Here is a 25,840-nt window from a genome sequence, read left to right as displayed (position 1 = left end):
TACATATTTAATAAGGAAAAAATGGTTTTTTAAAATACTATGATTTATTTTAAAATTCACATTCAAATCTTAACCATGAATTTGTTTTCCACTATCACTATAAGAATCCAGGTTCTGAATTTCCTCCTGAGTTGGCTGGTTCAACTGTAACCCCTAATGTTAGCAATGAAAGCCCATTAGGCTGAATCGTATAAAATGAAACCGACTCCCTCTCCAACATCTAGACTTTTTTCTCTTCCTTATATTATCTGAAAGTTCAGCACGTAGGGCAGTGAAGTAAGCCAAAGAGAGTACTATTGTCTAGAAATTCACATTCTAATAAAGATTAGGTCTACTTGCTTTTTCTCTGAGCATGAACTGGAAGTGGGACTTTTGAATTAAGAGCTGAAGAAAGATGGTGAGAAGGCTGTCCTAGAGCATGGGATCCTGGGTTGAACAGCAGAAGAAGCCAGGCAGGAGCTTGGGGGCACTGGAGAGAGGAAACTGAAAGCAGAGCAACTCAGTTCCGCAAAGAGATGCGCCTACACTGATATTTTTGCACAGGACATTCCCTAGAGTTGGGCTTGAAGAGGAGAGGAAAAATGCTTCCAAGTGGAAGTCACATTGGCTAAACTGAGTTCCTACAGATGAGTGTCTTTTTTCCTTCTTCTGTGTCTTTTAACCAGAAATCCACTGACAGAACTATACTTTCCCTGAAACAGAAAAGACCTTTAATCTCCCTTTGTTTTCAGACCATTCTCTCTAAGGACAACTTCAAGGGACAGGTGTACCAATGTTATGTTTCCTAGGGTGGAGCTGATTATGGCCTGTGTGGTTAGGTTACATGGGAACATAGGAGAGAGGTAGAGAAGGCACACGACCACCTCTGTAACATACAAATCTAGGTAGCTGCCATCTCCTGGGGAGAGCACTGCAACCTACTGGAAGACACATGGACTTGAAGGGTAATAGGTGCCAGAAAGTCTAGGAATAGGAACAGAGATACAGCATTTGAACTATTTATCCAGCAGGTTATAGATCACGGGAATTCTGTCAAGAGAATAGGATTCCGTTCCTGCTGATGAGTACCTGCTTTGTTTTTTCTTAATATAGGATGTCCAAATGAGGTTGAGATGGGGGAATTTGGCACTGGGAAGGAGACCCAAGAGGGTCACATAAAGAACACTAAGTGATATTCAACTAACCTTTTTGAAAAGTTTCATTGACAAACCAGTATCAGAACAGACTACTTTAAAAATCCTTTCATACAGTGTTCCCAGGGACCGTACACAGGCATACTCTGAATTCAATGAAACACAAAGCACAGCAGTGTAAGAAACTAAATTAATCATGGGATGTTTGCTTGATTTTATGCTTTGAAGTAACACTGAGCTTTAGATGAAAGTGAGTGATAATAGGTCCCATCAATATTATTGAAACTCTAACTCATTTTCTCATTAAATATTTACAATCCTTGGTAACATAACACATCCTCAACTCTTAAAGAATATCTACCTGTCATCCTTTCATCATATAAACTATGATAAATTTCAACCAGAAAAGTGAACCCCTCAAAACTGTGATTTGTAGAGTTCCCAGGCAGCCCAGAGTGCCTTGGATATAGGGGATTTGGGAACCTGTTCTTACAAGTGACCTCTAAAGAAGGTTTCTCCTTCAAGAGCAGCAGATATATAAAAAATAATTCCTTTCTCTGGACTCATTTCAACTGATAAATGCCAAGGTAGGCAGTTGGATGCTAGGATAATCTGGCCATAAATCATGATTCAGGGTTATAAACAAAGTATATGCTTTATTTTGTTGTGGTGGTGGTTCCTTCATAACTAGGAAAAGGGAGACAAGCTTTCTTACTTTTCAACAAAAAGTTTCTCTATCTATACTCATTTACATGCTGACCTTCTTATATAAATACACAAAGTGACTCTTAGGAACATGTAAGTGATTATAGGAAGTTAACATATACCAATGACTTATTTGCCACCAACTTTATAAGTAGGCTTCTAGTTACTGCAGCATATTAAATAATGGTATCATTTGTTTTTCTGAAACATGCAAAACACTGGGTCAATTTTTTTTTTTTAAGATGGTGTCTTGCTCTGTCGCCAGGCTGCAGAGCAGTGATGCAATCTTGGCTCACTGCAACCACATTGCTACCACTGTAGCCGAGCTGTGGTCTCTGATGTCACCACCAACTGCAGCGAGGTAAGCCACGGAGGCGCAGGCTCTGGCTCCAGCCTCCAGCATGCAGCGGTGTCTCTTCCTTCTCCTCGTCTTCCAGCCCGGCAGGAGAAGCTCCTGCTGCTAGCCTCCCTCCTACCGCTCCGTCACCAACACCACCAACAGGGAGGCAGCGCCCCAGGCTCCAGGCTCCAGGCTCCAGGCGGTGAAAACTAATGGACCCTTCTAGTTCTCTAACCCAGGTACCTAGCAGCTGGACACACCGACACAGAAGACCCAAAAATGACGCACCACTTCCTCAGCATGCTTTATATACTGAAGTTACGGATCCTGGACTACATGTTCTGATTGGATGAGAGAAAAACCTCTAGGCCTACTCTGATTGGACTTTATTTTCATGCTGTGATTGGTTATCTTAAGACTTGCTCTTATGCAATCAGAACATGAAGTCTAGGAACCGGCATGCGCATAACCTCCGTATATAAATGATGCTGAAGAGCCGTTACGGTTTTTTTTTTTTTTTTTTTTTTTAGGGTTGGGTGTTTTACTGTTGAGCTGCTCAGTGCCCAGCTTAGAGGACCAGGAAAAGGAGTCACCGGCCGTATGCTGGAGGCTTGAGACACGGCACAGAGGCGCAGCTCGCCTCGCTATGGTTGGTGGTGGCAGTGGAGATTGCGATTGCAGCGCGGCTGGAAGGGTAGGAAGAGGAAAATAGTTTTGGGATAGATAGAGGGGTGGGTAAAGAGTTTGGTTATTGCCAAAGGGAAAAAAGGATAGCGAGGAGGAGAAGGCATTGCAAAAAGACGATGGGGAAAAGATGGTGGGGAAAAAAGGTTTTGGGTAGACGGAGGTGGAAAGACGGGTTGTGGAGCGGGAGTGAGGGAAGGTTTTGCAGAAAGACGGTGGATAGGAAGTTTATGGGTGGATGAAGGGGGAAAAGATGGTGGCAATTGGGGAGAGGAGAGAGTGGTGAGGTGGGGGAAATGGGCGAGCAGTAGGGAGAGAGGGTTTTGTGAAAAGACAGTGGGGAGAGAAGTTTTTGGGTAGATAGAGGAGCAGAAGAAGATAGCAAGTGGGAGAAGGAAAAAGAGGGTAACTAGCGGGAGGAAGACAAGGTTTTGCGAAAAAACAGTGGCAGAAAAGAAAGATGGTGGAGAAAAGATGGTAGGTAAAAAGTGTTTGGGTAGATGGAGGAGGGAAAGAGGGTGACAAGGAGGAGAAAGAGGGTGGCGAGAAGGGAGCAGGGAAAGAAGGTTGGGAAAAAGACGGGAAAATAGTTTGGGATAGATGCAGGGCAAAAAAAAGGGTGGCAAGCAGGATAGGGGAGAGAAGAGGACGAGTGGGAAGAGGGGGCAGACTTTGTGAAAATATGGGGAAATTTTGGGGGGTAGATGGGGGAAGAGGGAGGTGAGCAGGAGTGGGGAGAAGGCTTCGAGAAAAGATGGTGGGGAAATGTTTTTGGGTAGATGGAGAAGGGAAAGAGTGGCAAGGAGGAGCAGGAGGAAAGACAATGAGGAAAACAGTTTTTGGGTAGATAAAGGGGGAAAAGAGGGTGGTGAGCAGCAGGAGTGGGGAAAAGGCTTTGGGAAAAGACGGGGGGGAAATGTTTTTGCTTAGATGGAGGAGGAAAAGGGCATGATGACAGCAGGAGGGGGAAAAAAGAGGGTGGCCAGGGAGAAGGGGGAAAATACGGTGGGAAAAAACGGGAGAAAGTGTTTGGGTAGATGGTTGGGGAAAAGCGTGGTGAGCGGGAGAATAGAGAAGGCTTTGCGAAATGACGCGGGGTGGGGCGGGGAGAAAACGAAATGATGGTGGGGAGAAAACGGTGAAAACGTTTGGGGGTAGATGGAGGAAGAGAAAGGGTGGTGAGAGGGAGAGGGCGAAATGCGGTCGGGAAAAGAAGGTGGGGAAATGGTGGGGGACAAAAGTTTTGGGTGGATTTTTAAAAATAAGATTATTTGTATTTTCACTTTTGAGTAGTTTGAGTTCTTTAGATATTTTGTGTATTAACCTCTTGCCTGATGCATAGTTTGCAAAGACTTTCTTCCATTCTCGGGTTCTGTCTTCATTATACTGATTGCTTCCTCTGCTTTGGAAAAGGTTTTAAGTTTAATGTAATTACATCTTTGCTTTCGTTGCTTGTGCTTTTGATGTCTATTTGAAAATTCCTTGTCCTAACCAATTTCATGAAGCATTTATCCTATGTTTTCTTCTCTGGTAGTTTCATAGTTTCAGGTCCTGTATTTAAATCTTTATTTTGAGTAGATTTTTGTATATGGTAAGGTAATGGCCTAGATGTATCCTTGTACATGTGGGTGTTGGGTTTTCCTAGTACAGTTTATTGAAGAGATTGTCTTTCCCGAAGGTGTGTTCTTGGGGCCTTTGTTAAAAATGAATTGACCGTAAACGCGTGAATTTATTTATGATTTCTCTATTCTGTTTCACTTGTCTATGTCTGTCTGTCTCATTCGTTCATCTCTCTTGTCTCTCCCCCGCCCCTTTTATTGATAGTACCATGCTGTTTTGATAGTACCATCCTTACTATAAATTTGTAGTATATTTTGAAATCAGGTAGTGTGATGCCTCCAGCTTTTCTTTTTATTCCACATTCTTTTGTCTATCTGAGGTATTTTGAACTTCCATGTGAATTTTAAGATTCTTTTTCTATTTCAGTGAAGAATGTCTTGTAATTGAACATGGATTGCATTGATTCTGTAGATCACATTGGGTGATACACATATTTTAACATTCTTCTAGTGCATAGAGATGGGATATCTTTCCATTTACTTGTGTCTGCTTTAGTATCTTTCATCTATGTTTTATGAAGTTTTCATTTTGGGATCTCTTGCCTTTTTGGTTAAGTTTATTCCTAGATATCATTTTTTTTTTTGGTAATGAAATAGCTTTCTTGATTTCTTTCTTAGATATTTCACTATTGGTGCATGGGTGTAGTATTCATTTTTATATTTTGATACTGTATCTTGGAACTTGACTAATTTATTATTTCTAGTAGGTTTTTTGTGGAATCTTTAGGGTTCTCTCTATATATGTTCATGTCACCTGGAAACAGACAATTTGACTCCTTTTTTCCAATTTGGATGCCTTTTATTGCATTCTCCTAATTGCTCTAGCTAGGACTTCCAGTATTATGATGAACAAAAGTGGTGTAAAAGTAGCCACACTTGTTCCAGATCTTAGAGGAGAAGAGCTTTTAACTTTTCCTTATTGATTATGTTAGCTGTGGGTTTGTCATATATGGCCTTTATTGCACTGAGATATGTTCCTTCTGTACTCATGTTGTTGAGTTTTTATCATGAAGGAATGTTGACTTTTAATTTTTTCAGCGTCTACTGAAATGATTATATGGTTTTTGTTGTTGATTTGCTGAATGTGATGTTGCATATTTATTTATTTGTGTTTATTGAATCATCCTCATATTCCTGGGATGAATGAAATCCACTTGATCATGGCAGATGATCTTTTTATTGCGTTGTCAAATGCAATTTTCAAGTATTTTGCTGAGGATTTCTTACACCTCTGTTCATCAGGGATATTTGCCTGTGGTTTCCTTTTTGTGTTGTGTTCTGGTCTGGTTTTTGTACCAGGGTCATGCTGTCCTCATAGAACAAGTTTCGAAGCCTTTCTTCGTCTTCATTTTATGGGGAATATTTTGAGTAAAATACATATTAGCTCTTTTAAAAATGTTTGGTAATTCAGCAGGAAAACCATGATTCTTGTGTTTTTCTTTGCCAGGAGACTTTTTATGACTGCTTTAATTGCATTACTCATTATTGGTCTGTTCAGGTTTTTTATTTTTATTTTTTATCATTCTATCTTGGGAATTCGTTATGTGTCTAGAAATGTATTCACTTCCAGATTTTTCAATTTGTTTGTGATGTTTTTAGTAATCTCTTAATGCTTCGTATTTCTGGGTTACCAGTTGTAATGCCTTCTTTATGACTTTGTTTTCTTTTTCTTATCTAACTTCATCTAGTTAAAACTCGTCAATTTTGATTTTTTTTTAAAAACACCCCAGCTTTTGTTTCATTGACTTTTTGTATTTTTTGTTTCTATTTTTAAAATTTCTTCTCTAATCTTTATGGTATTTTTTCTGCGAATTCTAGCATTTGATTGTTCCTGTTTTTCTCATTACTGGAGGTGTACTGTCAGGCTATTTGAGATCTTCCTACTTTTCTGATGCAGGCATTTATAGCTATACACTTTTCCTCTTAGAATTGCCTTTGGTGCATCCCACAGGATTTGTTATGTTGTGTTTCTATTCTTACTTGTTTCAATAAATATTTAATTTCCCTTGTGTTTTCTTCGTTTCTTTTATTGGTTGTTCATGGGTGTGTATTTTAATTTCCATGTATTTGTACAGTTTTTAAAGTTCTATCTGTTATTGATTTTTAATACTATTCGACTGTGGTCACAAAAGATACTTGATATGAATTCAGTTTTTAAAAATGTGTTGGGTGACCGAGGCGGGATCACGAGGTCAGGAGATCGAGACCATCCTGGCTAACACGGTGAAACTCCGTCTCTACTAAAAATACAAAAAATTAGCCGGGCGTGGTGGCCGGCTCCTCCGGAGGCTGAAGCAGGAGAATGGCGTCAACCCGGGAGGCGGAGCTTGCAGTGAGCCGAGATAGTGCCACTGCACTCCAGCCTGGGAGACAGAGACTCCACCTCAAAAAAAAAAAAAAAGTGTTGTGACTTGTTTTTTGGCCTAACACAGTCTGTCCTGTAGAATAATCGATGTGCCACTCAGTAGAATGAGCATTGTGCAGTTGCAGAGTGAAAAGCTGTGTAAATGTCTGTTAGGTCCATTCTGTATAGAGTACAGTTTAACTGATGATGTTTTGTTGTCTGGATGATCTGTCCGTTCGCGATAGTGGGGTGTTGATTACGGTGGAGTGTTGAGGTACTCTATTATTGTATTGCAGTCCCTCTGTCCTTTAAAGCCTGTTAATATTTGCATCTATATTTAGGTGCTTGAGTGTTGGTTGCATATGCACTTAACGGCTGTTTACTTCTTTCTCATTATATAATTATCTTTATTTTTTCTTTTTTTGAGTTAAAGGCTATTTTATCTAAGTATAGCTACTCCTGCTTTTTTTGTTTCCGTTTGTATGGAATATCTCTTATCATCCCTTGACTTTGTCTGTGTATGTCTTTATAGGTGAACTGAGTTCCTTGTAGGCAGGACATAATTGGGTCTTTTAATCCATTCAGCCACTCTGTCTTAATTTAATTTACATTCAAGATTATTATAGATAAAAACATACTACTGCCATTTTTTACTTTCTTGATTGTTTTGCTACTTTTTCTTTTGTTCTTTCTCCCTTCCTCTTTTCTTTCTGATCTCTTTTTATTTCTTCTCTTTCCTCTTTGCCTTTCTTCCTGTCTTTATTTGTAGTGAAGTAATTTTTTCTGGTAGTGTTTTAATTCCTTGCTTTTTATGTTTAGAGTGTCTGTTGATTTTTGTTTTCTGGTTACCATGAGGCTAAACAACATAATTATAACAAGTTACTTTAAACCGAAGAAAACTTAACTTTGATTGGTCTCAGCTACTCAGGAGGCTCAGGTGGGAGGACCGCTTGAGCCTGGGAGGCCGAGGTTGCAGTGAGCTGAAATTGCGCCACTGCACTCTCTAGCCTGGGTGACAGAGTGAGACCATGTCTCACAAAATAAATAAATAAATAAAAATGCAATAGCTTTATAATGAATTCTGATTGTAAATTTGGAGATGATATATTAAGGTATAAAGAGGAAAGTGAAAATCATAATCTCATTACCCAAGGATAACTACTTCTAATGTTTTGGTACATACGCTTCCTTATTCATAATCCCCTCTCTTTTACACACACACAAATGTACACGTAAAATAGATAGACTTTACACACATAAAATTTTATTGTAACATTTTGAGAAACACGGTTTTGTAATTTTTTCTTTAAAAATATTGCAAATAAGTTCTGTGAATAACATATAATAACATACATCTTAGTTTTCAGATTTTGTTTTTTGCTCTTGGGGGTGGCAGGTTCGCTTTTGGCTAAAATGAATCGTCTCAGTATCTTTGATTTTCCTTCTCTCCTCTAAGCTGTTGCTTTTGGAAGGGGCGCCTGGATCTCCCTCCTATTTACTTGGGGGCAAACACATAGTATCATGGGGTTTTGAAGACACGTTGCCTGTGCCAGATAGCAACACTGGCTGTAGTTCTGAAAATATTAGCGTTTTTGTCCTGTGATTAATACTAAGATGTAAATGAAGTGGTTTAGATCACTGTAGCAAATGACCTAGCTATAACTGTGTGTGTGTTTTAGATCATTGTAGCCAATGATTTAGATACAACTCTGTGAGTACCTTTTAATTAAGGGCTCAAGATTTCTACACAGTATGTTCATTGTCTGCTTTATTTGTAGAAGCGTAAAAGCTGATACTTGGGTGATGTAAGAAAATGGATAGGTTTTACTATCACAAGGAAAAGGTAATATCCATACACTTTCGCCAAGGAGGCATGGGTTACTTAAATTGGCTTCTGGATATTGGAGTTTGGGTATGATAGCCTTACGTTGAATTTTTTGGTTACTGCTTGATAATATTTATTTCAGTAATTGTGTTTAGTAATTGATTGTGTGTGTTAATGAACAGTCCTGTCCTAAAAGCAAAAATGAAGTGGTTCAAGGGAGCATGAATTGTTAACATCTCCTTTAAACAAATAGGCTAGGTTAAAATTTTTTTACAGAGCTTTACAGTATTACATGTGAGTTTATTACACTATTACATGTCAATAAAAATGGCAGCAGAAGCTCTCTTAACTGACTTGCCAGATGGATTAGATCTCTCCATTCACTCAATAAAATGTCCATTTTATTGAGTTTTAATCCGTTCAGAATCCATTTAGAAATACTATCTTATTTAACCTGTATCCTGTTTCAACTAGCAACTGGATTATAAGAGTATGTGTATTAAATATTTTAGAAGACAGATTCTTTTAAATAAATAAAAATTATCACACAGGCTGTCTTAAACTTTTAAAAAAGAGATCTGATTTTAGATTTGGTTAAAATACTAGCCTACATTAGTATTCTTTCTAGGAAATAAATATTCACATAAATTGTTTTTCCAGAAATTGGCCTTGAATACAGATTTCAGATCGTTGAAAACGGAACCATTTGAAATCTGCATTTCCTTTCCTTTTCCTAATTTATTTCAGTCGCTCAATAGGATTTTCTCATGGAATTAACTTTTCCCTCTCAGCGTAGTTACATAAGCTTGCTGTTGTAATCATGAAAAATAATTACCCATTTCAGCACTTACTAACGTGGACTTTACTTGAAGGGTCTCTGGTTTTAAAGTCAGAGCACATGGCTAGAGGCAGATGAAGAGTACCTCATCATTCATAGCCACTGAGTCTCTATAATTTCTAAATGCCTTTGGAAAGCTAGATCTCATACTCAAAAGCATGCTTTTGTGTTACAAATTTTTTAGTGAACTACTTACTCAGGTCATAATGCTTTTAAAGCCCTGCTTTTCTTTCCTCAGAATAAACTGAATTACATGTTACCAATAACAATGCCACATCATTTCAAAGGAAACTGAATTAAGTAATCCAAGTCCGGGTTGCTGAAAACTAGATGACACAGGGTAGGCACTGTTTTGGTTACCGTGCAAAGGATCTCTATTAGTCAGCTTGGGCTGCCATAATAAAATACCATAGAACTGGGTGGCTTAATTTTCTCACGGTTCTGGAGGCTAGAAGCTGTAGATCAGGGTGCTGCTGCTTTGGTTCCTGATGAGGGCTTTCTTCCTGGCTTATAGGTTGGCTGGCATCTTGTCCTCACATGGCAAAGGGGAGAGTACTGTAGTCTCACCTTGTCTTAAAACGACACCAGTTCTATCAGATTAGAGTCCCACCCCATGACCTCATTTAACTGTTAGTACCTCCTCACAGGCCCTGTCTCCAAATTTAGCTATATTAGGGATTAAAGATTCAACATATACATTTTGAGAGGGCACAAACGTTCAGTCCGTAAAAGAAACTAGTTGTTTAATTAACAAGGATTGTTGAGCCCTGATATCTTGTTATACCTGCCTGTGTCCTTCCCCCATTCCCCTCCACTCTCATTTCCTCAAAAACACTCAGATAAGGATTTTTTTCAGATACTGTTATTGTTACTTATCAAACTACGTAGTAACATTATGAATTATAAATGTTATTAGCCATTGAGAAAGTAGCTGTGCACTGACTGACCCCAATTGACTGGGAGGGCTAGATGGTGCCTTCTCTGTGGTGGAAGATAGGTTGGAGAAATGTGGTTGGTAGCAAATGCTGTCTGATTTGAACAGCTTTAAAGAAGGCTGGTTCTAGTTGATTTCAGTTCTCTCCAGATGCCATTTGAATCTAAACCAATTTTCTAGTTCTTATCATTACAGAATTGTCTTCTGGAACAATTATTTCTTTTTGTTACTTGGTAGCAATATGGATGTAGCTTTCTGAATCATTAAGGCATTTTAACTCATCTTTCATTCTCTTATTTTTTAAGTCCTTTAGGTTGTTTGAGGGACATTGATCAAGGAAACCGGAGAAACTTAAAATGCTCTTCCGCTTCTTTGGAACAGTCACAGAGAAAAGTGAACTCCTTTCATTCTTGCAGTAATTTTTCTTGCTGATGGGAACAGTTCAAGTCAAGTGACATGTGAGGAACATTTTGTGTTTAACGTAAACCTTCCTATCCCAACTACATTGAAACAGTAATGATGCAACAAGGTAACTTCGGTTTTATGCTTGTGTTGTGTATAAGCATAAATGTGTGCTATAAATGTAGGGGGGCGGGGTTTACATACTCTGAAATCGGACACATATTCTATACATCAAAACATTTTCATGAATAAAAATCAGAGAAAGTATATTGACCAGGAAATAAATTTTGGATGCTCTTTATTTAAAGAAGCATTCACTAGTTTATTTGTATAAGTCAACTAACGCATTGCTTTTCTACCCATTCCTCTCTTTTGTGCCCCCCTAAGCCCTTTGTGGAGTTCTCATAAAACTGTTTTGTACTGAGTTTTATATCCATCTTCCTCTATTGAACCTTAACATTCTTGCTTCCCCAAAACCTGATAGCAGCTGAGGCAGTAATAGTAAATGTCCAACAAATACTGGTAATGACCAGCTGATAATAGATTGGTATTGCCACTCTTATCTCAGAAGCTGAATGACTGTGGTCAAGTTTCTTGACACCTCTAAGCTTCAGTTTTATCACCTATGAAATAATATAATGTTATTATCTTACAGGGTAGTTATAGATATTAAACAAGGAGATACATGCTTAATAAATGTAAGCTATTATCAATGGGTCGCCTTTCCTACAAGTGGATGTAAACCAGAACACCTTAAAAGTTTCTTTGTGCTAAGTAGGTAATGTCAACCTGGTCAAGTGAAATGGCTTTTTTTCAGTTCTGGGTTGTAGGATTGTCTTAAAACATGTCTTTGAATAATTTTAAGGTCATTTTTCTCATATCCTTCTTTTACTCTTGCATTACAGTGTACTTGGCATCTTCCCCCTTGAATGTATTGCTATTGGACATTGTTAAATTTTTAGAATGAAATCAATTATCAGGATTTTAATATTTAAGGGAAAATTATATGCTTCTCTGATACGGAATTATTTATCTCATAGCTTATTGAATTTCAGTTTTGTGCCCTGTACTGAATGAAATATTAAAATGCAGAATCATTTGGACCTATGAGACACAAAATCAAATTAGAATTTGTAATGACTTGTTAAAAAGATGACTACGTAAGGCCAGGCGTGGTGGATCACGAGGTCAGGAGTTCCAGACCAGCTTGGTCAAGATGGTGAAACCCCGTCTCTAATAAAAAATAAAAAAATTAGCCAGGTGTGGTGGCAGGAGCCTGTAATCCCAGCTACTTGGGAGGCTGAGGCACAAGAATCACTTGAACCCAGGAAGTGGAGGTTGCAGTGAGCTGAGATTGTGCCACTGCACTCTAGCCTGGGTGACAGAGCAAGATTATGTCTAAAAAAAAAAATGACTACTTTTTTTTGGCTATTCTAGGTCTAAGTAGAATTATTACTGTTGGTCTTTTTTGTTTTGTTTTTACAGTACTTTGAGTTGCCGTTTTAAGTAGAATTGTTATAACTAAGTAGTACAGAGTTTACTTTTTTGTCCTGGGAGTCAAATCATGTATGTCTTCTCTAAAAACTAACTTGGCTTTCTACATTTTAGGATTTCAGATACTTTGAGGAAAAAGCTAAAAGTTTGTTTTTTAAACTAGAAATGTATATGCCATTATAAGTATTTGGAATTTGAAGAAATAAATTATAACTAGACATTTTATTTTCTGACTTTTTTACTGTACATGTTAATTAAGTTCTTTGTAGAAATACAGTACAACATTGCTCTTGGTCTGCAGTATGTAAAGCTAACGGTTTAAAGAGGAAATCCTAAAGAGAATAAAAGAGGTTGCAGTATAATGAGTCGTTGTGTAGAAGTTCTGGAGCCTACTCAATAGACTTGAGAAGCTTATTTAAGGTACCATATTTCATCGAATCTAAGATGTCATAGATTATTTTTAAAAAGTGCTATTACATTATATACCTCTAAGAAGGAAAAAACACTCAGGACAGGGAGTTTAGTAGGAGACCTAACCCACAAGGCTGGTACACCTAGGGATAAATGAGAAATTAACTTGACCATCCAGAAAAGGGACCATAAAGAAGCATGCAAGTCTCAACCTTGACACTAAATAGAGAAAGAAAGAAACATTTCTCTGAGAATTTGAACCACAAACCCTAAGCTTTGGGTGTGCAGCCTTACCACCAGTGTGGTCCACAAAGGCCTGCCACAAAGGATTAATTCAGATGGTGTTGGGCTGATAGTGTTCCCAGATGACAGCAGAAGCAGATGCACATCTTCTCTGGGAAAATTCTCCTCTAGTCTAGACCTATGGTAAGATACCTCCATTATAAAAGATGTATTCCAGTTTCAGAAATGTAGTATGTGGAAAAACCCGCCTTTTAGAATTGATAAAATAGAATTCCATCAGGACCAACTTTTCAGGATTGTTAAACGTGTATTTTATATTTGATGAGGATCTTGAGACTGAAATGTTTTAAAAAGCCTTCTGAATTAAATTACTTTTTATATAGTTTTAGATAAAGTATCTTATAGATCAGATTTTTGAAAATTTATGACCTGTATGTAGTATATATTGTGATTTTATTATGGGAAGTATTTGATTAATCAGAGTATCCTATTCTGAGATGAAAGTTGCCTTGTTATGAAAAAGAAAGCTAACAGACATGCTCTCAAGGCATTTTTTGTTAATCTGAGAAACCATGTTCTTCTGCCTTTTCTTGCTTTGCCAGCAGTGTTTACGAATTTCTCTTAGCATCTCTTAGTATATATGAAGGACATTTGGTGTTCTTACTTCTCTGCTAAGTTACCGAATGACAAGAGAGATGTTTTCTATTATATTCATGGAATTGCATCTCTAGTGTTAGAGTTGTTTGACCACTTACTCGTGAGTTTTAAATATGTTATCCGTTTATCTTAAAGTTAGATATCTAAAGAATGTAAGACCTATGTTAACAAAAAATTTTGTTTTCTTCTGCAACTGCTCCGTATGGTTTTTGAGTGGTTCCTGCTTTTGACTGAGAACAAGGAAATGTGGAATTGTGCATAGGAATGAAATGATGGCCAGGCTTTCACTGGGTTATACACTGTCATCAGTAATAGTTCCTGACATCTCTCTCTTTCCTTAAGAGCTTTTTTCTATTCAAGAAAACAGAAATGGCATAGCCTTTTTAGTTTGCTCTTTGATTTGAGTCAGACAAATTACTTCTGGCCAGCTGATATATTTGTTTCTTTTGCTACTAGCTTTAAAAAATAAATAAATCTGACTAGAAAAGGATCTCATCCTCTTAAAATTATTGACTACATTAATACTACTCCATTTTGATCCTCCCAAATGTATTGCTTCTTGAAAAATATGTCATCTTTATTCTGTAAACTCTTAGAACCAGTAATTTCTTCTCTGGCTAAGACTGCTACTAACAAGTAGAGTGATTGCCCACTATCTAAGCCTGAAACTTAGCTTTACTAACTTCAGAGGATGTGCAAATGATTTTCTTTTTAAAGCTGTGGCATTTCACTTTACTACAAAGTACATAAATGTGTCTTTATTCACCAGTCTTTGAATGTAGGGTTAAGTCCTTTCTTTGTAAAGGAGTCTACAAATTTGAATTCAGTTTTGTCTTTACTGCATAAGCTGTACCAGTTATACATCCTTTTTTTCAATGGTTTTATTTTTAAAAGTGTATTCAGCTTCAAAACTTTACCAAAAAGTACCAGCACTCAAATCCTACTGTTGTGCTGTTATTTGTATAGTTTCGTTTAGTGAAGTCTTACTGTTTTATAGGAGTTTCTACTGTAAGGATAATATTTTCAATCAATATTCTGTTATTTTCCAATGCTAGGCTTTGTATTTCCTGGTTAGTTTTATAGTCAATGTTAGACCTATTCTTTTATCGAGTGTGTGTGCGCGCGCGTGCACGTGTGTGTGTATAATGTTTTCAAAATTGAAACTTATTTTGGGTATGTTTTTCTTTTATTGCTTCTGTAGAACCTACTGGGTTGGTGACATTTACAAGACAGAGTCTTGAGGGTTTTCCAGAACGGGAAAGGTAACAATAATAATAAAAATAATCCTAGACCCCTAGAATTAGAAGGACTCTTGCACTATGAGAGGATTCTATTTTAGAGCACCTGGAAAGATGGTTTTCCAACCTCTATCCTAGTGCCAGGGAATTTCTTCTCAGAAGTGTTCCATCGATAGCTCTCATTTTTGAAAAGGTTATGCCTTTTAAATCAAAGTCTGTAACCCTTTGATTTCTACCATTTTGTCTTGGTTTTGTCTTCTGAAAGAAAGCGGTGTTTAAAATTGAGGAGTGTTGTATGTGAAGACACTAATAAAAGGAACGCCAATATATAAACGTTTCTCCTTACCCTTTTTTTGGTTAGTGTTTGAACTTTATGGCTTTTCTTTCTGGAGGACAAGATTGAGAAAAGTCTTTTTATTATTTACATTTTAGTAAATAGTAACCGTCTAGAGTTTGAGTGGCAAGAATTTTGAAGTTTGGCTGCCCTTGTGTACTACTGGTAGATTTTCTGCAAGTTGCTATTTACTGTTTGTTTCTTATTTATCAGAAAATAATTGAGGAGATAGCAGCCAATCTGAGCTAATTCAGATTTGTAAGGTCCTTAGTGTCCTGAAATAGTTAACATATTTCTTAATCTAAAGCAAGTCCCCCAATGCACTTAAAGAAGTGTGGATTAACTTTTTAAATATGTTTGAGGACATGGTGAAGCATACTAAACACATATTTAACCAATGCTTCCCATTTTCACTTTCTAATAATTTTATGATAGTTTGTAATTGTTTTGTTTGGAATTAGTGATGAATGGAAATCACTTAAAAAAAAAAGTTGAGAAGTCATATCTGCTTAGGTGGCTTTCCTGCGGTGTTTTCATCCATCAAAGATGTTTATTTGTGAAGTGAAAGATAAAGAAATTTACTTCAGAAGACTGAGTGTATGGTTTAGGTGATTATTAATAGAGGGAAGTAGATAAAAGGTTAAGAAACCTGAAGAGAGAAAAAAAATGAGCCATAAAAAGATGAGAACATGTACAGCATTTTGGCATCATGCCATGTCAGATCTGAAAGGAACCCCAGCCGCCTACTAAAACTCTTGATAGCTCTGTAATACCTGCAACAGTTGGAAACTGGATAGCTTCAGTGACGGCAAATCCGCTGTTGCACATCAGTTTGTTCCATTGGTGGCTGCTTGTGTTATCATCTCATGCTTTCATTCACTAAAAATGTTTTCTACATTCATTCTCCACTATTCCTGGTTCTTCCTTCTAGAGCTATGTAAATAAATCTGAATTTCTAGTTTTCTTTAAGATTTGACCTTCCTTCATGTATCTTAATGGCTTCTTGACCTACTTTCCTCTCCAAAAGTGCATACAAGTTCATACTAAACTGATTCATTTCTTCTATTTCACATGTAATATGGAGTCTAAACCCTTTATCTCTGCTCTTAACAGAGTAGATTGGTTGCAGTTTCTTGGGTGCAGGAATGAAAAAATGAGTACATTTGCCTCAGCCTCCCATATAGCTGGGACTGTATAGGTGCATGCCACTACACCTGGTTAATTTTTGTATTTTTTGGTAGAGACGGTGTATCACCCTGTTGGGCCAGGTTTGTCTTGAACTCCAGACCTCACTGCCTGCCTTGGCCTCCCAAATTACTGGGATTACAGGCATAAGTCACTGCGTCTGGCTTGGGGGAGTTACTGTTGAAGTATTGTCTTTGTATCCCAAAGCAGGCCCTTCTGAAACTGATGATGTTGATGAAAAACTCCTTCTACTGAAGTCTTTGCAATGTATAATCTTTTCACTTCCATTTTCCTACATACTGTTTCTATTGGTTCCTTGTATTCCACAGACTGTGTTTTAGTATTTATAAGTATAGTGTTCCTTTTCTATGTGGAAAAGGGAAAATGTATTGGCCTTTTTTTAACATATAAATGAACTTCACAAGCAACAATTTTTCAAATCAGTTTTCCCTGTTGTGAATCTCGAAGTGGGTACATGATGCACTTTCCCATTTAAGGTAAAGTACACATTTATCCCTTATCTCAGAACAGTCAGAAGTCAGGTTCTTATTGTATGGTTAGTAATGCAAATATTGATAAGGTCATGTCAATACTTAGTATTTAGAAGAATTCTGAAATAGCACTTGTTACTCTGTAAGTTTTATGCATTTATTACTTTTTTTGAATTTTTTATAATGTTCCCAAACTTGACTGCCTTACTTCTATCTCTTCTGGCCTCAAGTACAACAAGATGTATTTTCTTTAGATTTAGCATATAATATAAATTCAATTGTTTATTTCAGATTTTGAAAGAACAAAGAGGAACTACAGAATCATTGCTTACATTGACACCGGCCCTGTTGTCCCAATGGATGGGTTTTTTTTGGATGAACGTCAAAATTGACCCTGCTGTTAAAGCTTGAAACTTGGATCTGTTGTATCTGAGTTCTCTCCTCAAAAAAAGACCTTCAGGAAGTATCAGATAACTGAAACATACCAGATCACAGCACCACATGCCTCCTGCCCCTCCCTAATTTCTGTTCTCTTATACATTGTTAAATTTTTTTCCTGCCCCTATTAGTCAAGCCCATGGATTTGAGACTGAGCTTCCAGCTCCTGGGCCGCAGCACCAGGTTAAAGCTTTCTTCCTTGGCAGTACTTGTCACCTCAGTGACTGGCTTTTTCTCCGATGAGCAGGAGGACCTGGACGAAACCCCTAGTGTTTGGGTAATAACATGAACGACCATCTTAACTGTTATTCTTTATTGAAATTTTACTTTTTAACTACTGGCCTCTTGTTCATTATCTCCCATTCTTTTGACTTCATATCTCTTTTTTCGTTGACTTTACAGTCAAGGAACTTGATGCTCCCTAAATCCAAATATTACGGTTAAAAGAAGAGAGAGGAAATGTGTGCAGAGAAAGTGTATTTTACAAATGAATTAAAGGTGGATTCTGAGATACAGGTTTATAGATTTACCTAGAGTTTTGAGTTCAGGTGAGTTTTCACAATATGCAGTAAGTGGAAAAGAATCCCAAAATAATTGTGACATGAAAAAGCTAGATGTTGAAAACCAAAAAGATTTCACTTTGGTATGGCACTTTTAATTCAAGAATACTAGCCACCAAATGAGTTTTTCTGACTGTAATCATTGCTCTTTAAAAATTGAGATGTATTTATAACTTTTGTTTGACTTTTAGTACAGCTTCTGAATTTAGTTATCAACAGATAGGACAAAATAGATGAGCATCTGCTTCCCTTCCCCCTAAACAATGTATTCTTACCGAAATGTAATATATTTTTATTTATACTTGAAGACAGTGTTTTTCAATCTTTTCCATGTTAGTAGCTCAGATCTTTAAGGACAGAGGATGTGTACTGGGGGCAGTTTGTGGTCTTAATCCTAAGTGGCACTCTGATATTTTAGATTATTTCTTTCATATTTGTGAGTAAAACTTCTGCTCCAGTAGGATGAGCCTGTTTACCTTGTGACTGCCTAACAGATCTGTTGCTTTATATGCCAGTTTTTAGAAGCAGGCAGATTACGTTACTTGGATTAAAATGTTTTTGACACTAAAGGTAGTATCTTAAATTTTTACATATGAGTTACTTTAAGTACAACTTTGCTTAAATTATGGGGATCGAGTTTCCATAACTTTCACCATAGTGAAAATGGAAAGCAGGGAACATTCCACAGCAAATCCTGAACTTATTTACAGAGTTAATTGAGCAAAGCAGGCATTCACACTTGTGTGTGTGTGTCAGTGACAGATGAGCATGGTACTTGTAGCATAATTGTGCTGCTTCAGATTCCAATATCCAGTAATTTTATCATGTAGCTAGAGTAACTAATATTAAGTCCCCAAGCCTACTTGGGTCTACTGTATTTGTATTTTAAAAGAATGTTTTTAAGCTACCAAATAGACATGTTATATATTTCTTCTGAATTAGAAAACGTTATTTGGATTAATAGAGTTAATAGAATCATATTTTATGTTTATTATGTCTTTTTTTTTTTTTCCTGAGATGGAGTTTCACTCTCGTCACCCAGGCTGGAGTGCAGCGGCGCGATCTCAGCTCACTGCAACCTCCGTCTCCTGGGTTCAAGTGATTCTCCTGCCTCAGCCTCCCGAGTAGGTGGGATTACAGGCCCCTGCCACCACACCTGGCTGATTTCTTGTATTTTAGTAGATATGAGGTTTCACCATGTTGGCCCAGGCTGGTCTCGAACTCCTGAACTCAGGTGATCCGCCCTCCTCAGCCTCCCAAACTGCTGGGTTTACAGGTGTGAGCCACTGCACCTGGCCTATTATGTCTTAAAAGTGCTTGCATCGTCACCTAGATTATTTTTTATCTTTCAATGTGAGTTTTTATTGGTTTATATGTTGTTTGTTTTCTTTTTAGGAAGCCATCATTCTTTAGAGGGCAATGACCAAACAGTACCAGCAGAAATTGAAGTACCAGCAGAAGGCTAAGAAGGTTAGGAGAAAAAGACATTTTGTATTTTACTGTTTTTTTCTTTTTTTTTTTTTAGACGAAGTCTTGCTCTGTCACCAGGCTAGAGTGCAGTGGCACGATCTCGGCTCACTGCAACCTCTGATTCCCTGGTTCAAGTGATTCTCCTGCCTCAGCCTCCTAAGTAGCTGGGATTATAGGCACAGACCACCACATCCAGCTATTTTTTGTATTTTTGGTAGAGACCAGGGTTTCACCATGTTGGCCAGGATGGTCTCAATCTTTTGACCTCCTGATCCACCCACCTCGGCCTCCCAACATGCTGGGATTACAGATGTGGGCGCTTGGCCACCTCCTCTTGGGAGAAATGCATTGATTCTGGTTGCCACGTGGATTTATTTTGGGAGTGATATTCATCTAACTTCATGGAAATAATACTAGATAGAAAGTTAGCGGATGAATTCTCTATCTGATGAGAGTTTTGGGCAAATCGAATACCAAGTTACCAAGTTTTGTTTTTTTCTCTGATGCAAAGAAACAATTTGCCAGCCAGTGAAAAACTCTCACAGCTCTGGATGTGAGTTTAGGATACTGGATTTCTACCATTCAATTTCTTACTACTTTTCTTGCACAGGGATCATGGCACAAGCTGCAGTTTCCACCCTGCCCATTGAAGATGAGGAGTCCGTGGAAGATGAGGAGTCCGTTGAAGATGAGTCTGTTGAAGATGAGTCCGCAGAGAACAGGATGGTGGTGACATTGCTCATATCAGCTCTTGAGTCCATGGTGAGACCTTCTGTTCTAACATTCTGTAATTGGGTAGTACTGGGTGGTAGATAAGGTTGATTTGTTTTTGTAGAATTTATAATTTTATGATTTATAGTTCTAATGAGTAGATCTTTTTCTTGAATAGTAATTATGGTCAAACACTTCTGACCAAATGTGCCATGTTGTCCAGCCTGGTCTCAAAATTCGGGGCTCAAGAGACCTGCCCACCTTGGCCTCCCAAAATACTGGGATTACAGGTGTAAGCCCCTGAATCTGGCCAGATATTTTTCTTTTTATGGCTGAATAATACTCTGTGTATGTATATATTACATTTTCTTTATCCATTCACCTACTGATGGGCATTAGGGTTGGTTCTACCTTTTGGCCACTGTGAATAATGCTGCTGTTAAACGGGTGTACAAATACCTGTTTGAGTCCCTGCTCTCAGTTATTTTGGGTATATACACTTAAAGGGTGTTGGTGGATCATATAATTCTGTGCTTAATATTTTTAAGGAGCTGCTAAACCATTTTCCACAGTGGGCTGTACCATTTTACATTCCAAAAGGCAATGCATACAGCTTCCAATTTCTCTATAGCATTGCTGACAGTTAATATTTTCTGTTTATGTATTGTATTTTTATAGTGTTTGAAATTAATCTGAGGGTTTTTGCTGATACCAAAATATTAGGAAAGGTTTTCCAAAAATAATACTGCTTATTATAAAGAATTTTATGTGTTACTTGATGCCCTGTGATCCATTTTCTCAGTAAGAAGAGGAACTTCTTGGCTGGGCGCAGCAGCTCATGCCTGTAATCCCAGCACTTTGGGAGGCCGAGGCAGGTGGATCACAAGGTCAGGAGTTCAAGACCAGCCTGGCCAACATAGTGAAACCCAGTCTCTACTAAACAAACAAACAAACAAAAATTAGCTGGGTGTGGTGGCGGGCACCTCTAATCCCAGCTACTCGGAAGGCTGAGGCAGAGAATTGGTTGAACCTGGGAGGCGGAGGTTGCAGTGACCGAGATTGCGCCACTGCACCCAGCCTGTGTGATAGAGTGAGACTCCATCTCAAAAAAAAAAAAAAAAAAAAATGGAAAGAAGAGGAACTTCTCTCCATTCAACCTCATTCCACTGCACCAACTCTTCTGTGTCGGGTTGTGCAGGGGAGAAAGGGAGCTTGGCACCTCTTTGCTGTGTTGAGTTGTGGTAGCCCATCACTGGGTTGTAAAGTGCATTGCCTCCTCCCCCCCCTTTTTTTTTTTGAGACAGAGTCTCACTCTGTCACCCAGGCTCAGGTGCAGTGCTGAGATCTCTGCTCACTGCAACCTCAGCCTCCTGGGTTCAAGCGATTCTCCTGCCTCAGCCTCCCAAGAAGCTGGGACTATAGGCACGTGCCACCACACCTGGCTAATTTTTTTTATTTTTAGTAGAGACGGTATCACCATGTTGGCCAGGCTGGTGTTGAACTCCTGACCTCAAGTGATCCACCCACCTTGGCCTCCGAAAGTGCTGGGGTTACAGGCATGAGACACTGCGCCCATCCACCTCCTCTTTTACTTGGGAGAAATGCGCAGATTCTGGGTGCCATGTGCATTTGTTTTGGGAGTGATACTGATCTAACTTATGGAAATAATACTAGACAGAAAGTTAGTGGATGGATTCTCTATCTGATGAGAGTTTTGGGCAAAACGAATTCCTAGTTTCTGAGTCTTATTTTTCCCCTGATTCAAGAAAACTGTGAATTATCCAGCCGGTGGAAAAGCTCTCACAGCTCTGGATGTGAGTTTAGGACACTGGATTTCTACCACTCACTTTCTTACTACTTTTCTTGTGCAAGGATCATGGCACAAGTTGCAGTTTCCACTCTGCCCATTGAAGATGAGGAGTTTGTTGAAGATGAGGAGTCCTTGGAGAGCAGGATGGTGGTGACATTCCTAATGTCAGCTCTCGAGTCCACGGTCAGACCTTCTGTTCTCACATTCTGTAGTTTGGTAGGACTGGGCAGTAGATAAGGTTGACTTATTTTTGTAGAACTTACAATTTTATGATTTTCAGTTGTAATGAGTAGACCTTTTTCGTGAATAGTAGTTATGGTTAAACACCTCTAACCAAATGTGCATGTGGAGTTTCTACACTGATTTTCAGACAATCTGGATCCCAACTGGGTATCCCACAATTCCATCCTGACACTCCCTGGAGTTAGTGCAGACCCCGCAGGATGGGGGCTCAGTCCCAGGAGTGTACCCTCACTCCACATGCCAATTGCAAGTCTTGGGTTGTTACATGTAGTTTTGACCGACCAGTTAGAAAACAGGGTTTCATGACCCCGTTGCTGGGTGGAATCATTTGCTCGGACAGCTTGCAGAACTCAGAAAAACAGATTGTTTTTTTTTTTTTTTCTGAGATACAGGGTCTCAGTCTGTTGCCAGACTGGAATGCAGTGGTGTGATCAAAGCTCACTGTAGCATGGGACTCCTGGGCTCAAGTGATCCTCCCACCTCAGCCTCCCAAATAGCTGAGACTACAGGCCCGCACCAGCATATCTGGCTAAGTTTTTTTATTTTTTGTAGAGAAGGGGTCTTGTTATGTTGCCCAGGCTGGTCTCAAATTTCTGGGCTCACATGATCCTCCCACCTCAACTTCACAAAATGCTGGGATTATGGGTGTGAGCCACTGCATCTCACCAATTTACTTTCTTTTACTGGTTCATTTTAAAGGCTATATCTCAGAAACAGCCGGTGAAAGAGATGTACATGCTGGGCACAGTGGCTCATGCCTGTAATTTCAGCTCTTTGGGAGACTGAGGCGGGAGCATCGCTTAAGTGCTCAGGAGATTAAGACCAGCCTGGGTAACACGGTGAAAACGCATCTCTACAAAAAGGTTTTTCTAAAAATTAGCCAGGTGCAGTGATCTATAGTTCTGGCTACTCAGTGCCTATAATTCTAGTTACTCAGGAGGCTGAGGTGAGAGGATGAGAGATGGGGCTTGAGCTAGGGAGGCATAGGTCGCAGTGAGCCACGATTGTGCCACGGCACTCTAGGCTGGGGGACAGAGCCAGACCCTGTTTCAAAAAAAAAAAAACCACAGGGCAAGGTGTGTCGGGAGGTCGGGAGGGGTGCAGAACTTCCATGCTCTCTATTGCGCGTGTTACCTTCCTGTTATCTCCCTTGTGTTCAGCAACCCCGGCATTCTCCAAATCTGGTTGTTGAGGTCATTTATGAAGGCTTCTTTAGGCAGGCATGATAGATGAAATCATTGACTATTGGTGATTAAGTCAGTCTTCGGCCACTATTTCTTCCTGGAGCCCAGTGGGTGAGGCTGACAGTTCCAAGCCTCTAATCACATGGTTTGTTCTTCTGGCAACCAGCCCTTTTTCTTAAGCTGTCTAGGAGCTTTCAGTCACCCAGTCATCTCAGTAACATCACCAAATGCATTCTTACTATGGTGATCCCAAAGGTCTTAGAGGCTCTTGTGTTAGAAACCTGGGACTAAGACCAAATATTCAAACAAAAGATGGTCCTATCACCTTTATCACCAAGGCCTTTATAAGAACTTGAGAAGCTCTGTGCCAGGACGAGGGGCAGAAACCAAATGTGTATTTTTTTTCTTTTTCTTTTGAACACAGAGTCTCTGTTTCACCCAATCTGGAGTGCAATGATGCAGTCGTAGCTAACTGCAGCCTCAACCACCTGGGCTCAAGCAATTCTCCCGCCTCAGCCTTCCAAGCATCTGGGACTACAGGTGCACACCATCCATGCCCAGCTGATTTTTGTATTTTTTTGTAGAGATGGGATCTTGTTATATTGCCGAGGCTGGTCTTGAACTCTGGGGCTAAAGCAATCCTTTCACGACAGCCTCTCAAGTAGCTGAAACTACAGATGCATACCACCATGCCCAGCTAATTTTCTCTTATTTCTTTTTGTTGTTTAATTGAGGGGGGGGGTCTCACTGTGTTTCCCAGGCTGGTCCCGAACTTCTGGCCTCAAGCATTTCTCCTGCTTTGACCTCCTAAACTGTTGGGATTATGGTTGTGAGCCCCGGCCTCTGTGTCCAGCAATCACAAGAGGTCTTTATAAGTGAAAGAGGGGGTAAGAGAGTCAGAATTGAAGGAGATTTGATGATGGAAGCACAGGTCACAGAGGGAGATTTGAATATGCTTTGCTTCTGGCTTTGAAGATGCATTTAGGGTCCATGAGGCAAAGAATAGGGGTGGCTTTTGGAACTGGGAAAGGCAAGGGAACATCTTCTCTCTGGAACCTCCAGAAGGGATGCAGTCCTGCTGACACCTTGACTTTAGCCTTAATAGACCTATTTTGGACTTCTGGCCCCCAGACCTGTTAGGTAGTAGATTTGTGGTGTATTAAGCCACTCAACGTAGGGTAGTTTGTAACAGCAGCAAGAAGAAATGAACATGAAGCCAGGGGTAGTGGCCCACACCTATAATTCCAGCTATTTAGGAGGCTGAGGCAGGATGGTTGCTCTGGCCCAGGAGTTCAAGATAAGCCTGGGCAACAAAGTGATACCCTGTCTACATGGGAAAAAAAAATTAGCGGGTGTAGTGGCATGCACTTGTAGTCTTAGCTACTAGAGGCGCTGAGGCAGGACGATTTCTTGACCTAGGAGTTCCAGGTCTCAGTGTGTTGTGATCGTGCCATGGTGCCCCAGCCTGAGTGACACAGCGAGATTATATCTTAAAAAAAAAGTAAAAAGAAATGAGTGAGCATGGCAGGAATGGGGACACATAGCAATATTAAATAGAGTGGTCAGGGTTGGCCTCCTAAGTGAAAATTGAGCAAAGACTTGAAGGAGGGGAAGGAGCTGGCCAAGGTACTGAGGGAAGAGCATTATAGGCAGAAACAACAGAATAAAGATGCTAAGAGGGAACTCCGTGGTGTGTCTGAAGCTCAGGAAAGAGGATTGTCGAGCAGAGAGGGGGAGAGAAGGTAGGGGAGGAGGCCAGGGAGTTGTGGGACTCAGATCAGTACAGATTGTGCAAGCCCTGGGAGGCTATTGCTGGGGCTTTGGCTTTTATGCTGTCTGAGATGGGAGATGCAGAAGGGTTCTGAGCAGAGAGGTGACACGAACTGTCTATTGATTTAAAAGCATCCCATGGTGGCTGAGTTGAGAAAGATTGTGGGAAGATTTGGGTAGAAGCACGGAGGCCAAGCTGTGGCAACATCCAGGTAGGAGATGATAGTGGTTCTGACCAGGGTCCTGGCAATGGTGAGAGATGGTTGATTCTTGTTGAGATACTAAGTAATTAAAAAAAAAAAAACACTACTGCTTTTCCTGATTATATGAAGTATGGGATGCTAGATTAAAGACATCTTAAGTCGGGCCAGGTGCAGTGGCTTATGCCTGTGGCGTCAGCACTTTGGGAGCACTTTGGGAGGCACAGATGGCACAGATGGGAGAATTGTTCAAGTCCAGGAGTCTGAGACCACCCTGGGCAACATAGCAAGACCTCCTGTCTATGCAAATAAAACTTAATAAAATATAATTATCATGGGATAGTGGTATTTTCCTGTAGAACCAGTTACTCTGGTTGTCGAGATGGGCAGATCTCTTGAGGGTGGGAGTTTGAGGCCAGCTTGGGCAACATAGCAAGGCTTCTCTTTCTACAAAAAAAAAAAATTATCTGGGTGTTGTGGTCCCAATGAGGGACAGCATTCCTGAGACTTTTTAAGTACTTTGTGTGATGGTCTAATAATCATAGCCTTAAAACTTTCTGGCTGGGCATGGTGGCTC

At 39.4% G+C, this 25,840-nt stretch overlaps 1 pseudogene across 1 annotated transcript; it reads left to right on the top strand.

The window, feature by feature from the left end:
* Positions 1 to 2,682: 2,682 nt before the first annotated feature.
* LOC642929 (general transcription factor II, i pseudogene) lies at positions 2,683 to 22,199 on the top strand (annotated as a pseudogene). The gene is made up of 7 exons (NR_027472.2): positions 2,683 to 2,872; positions 10,728 to 10,951; positions 17,169 to 17,592; positions 17,718 to 17,863; positions 19,271 to 19,345; positions 19,956 to 20,107; positions 21,929 to 22,199. The product of NR_027472.2 is annotated as a general transcription factor II, i pseudogene (transcript).
* The last annotated feature ends 3,641 nt before the right edge of the window (positions 22,200 to 25,840 follow it).

The sequence above is a fragment of the Homo sapiens genome, chromosome 9, assembly GCF_000001405.40.
Source record: "Homo sapiens chromosome 9, GRCh38.p14 Primary Assembly".
Classification (NCBI taxonomy): domain Eukaryota; kingdom Metazoa; phylum Chordata; class Mammalia; order Primates; family Hominidae; genus Homo; species Homo sapiens.
Note: the sequence above shows the minus strand (reverse complement) of the source record. Positions and strands in the feature narration are given on the sequence as shown.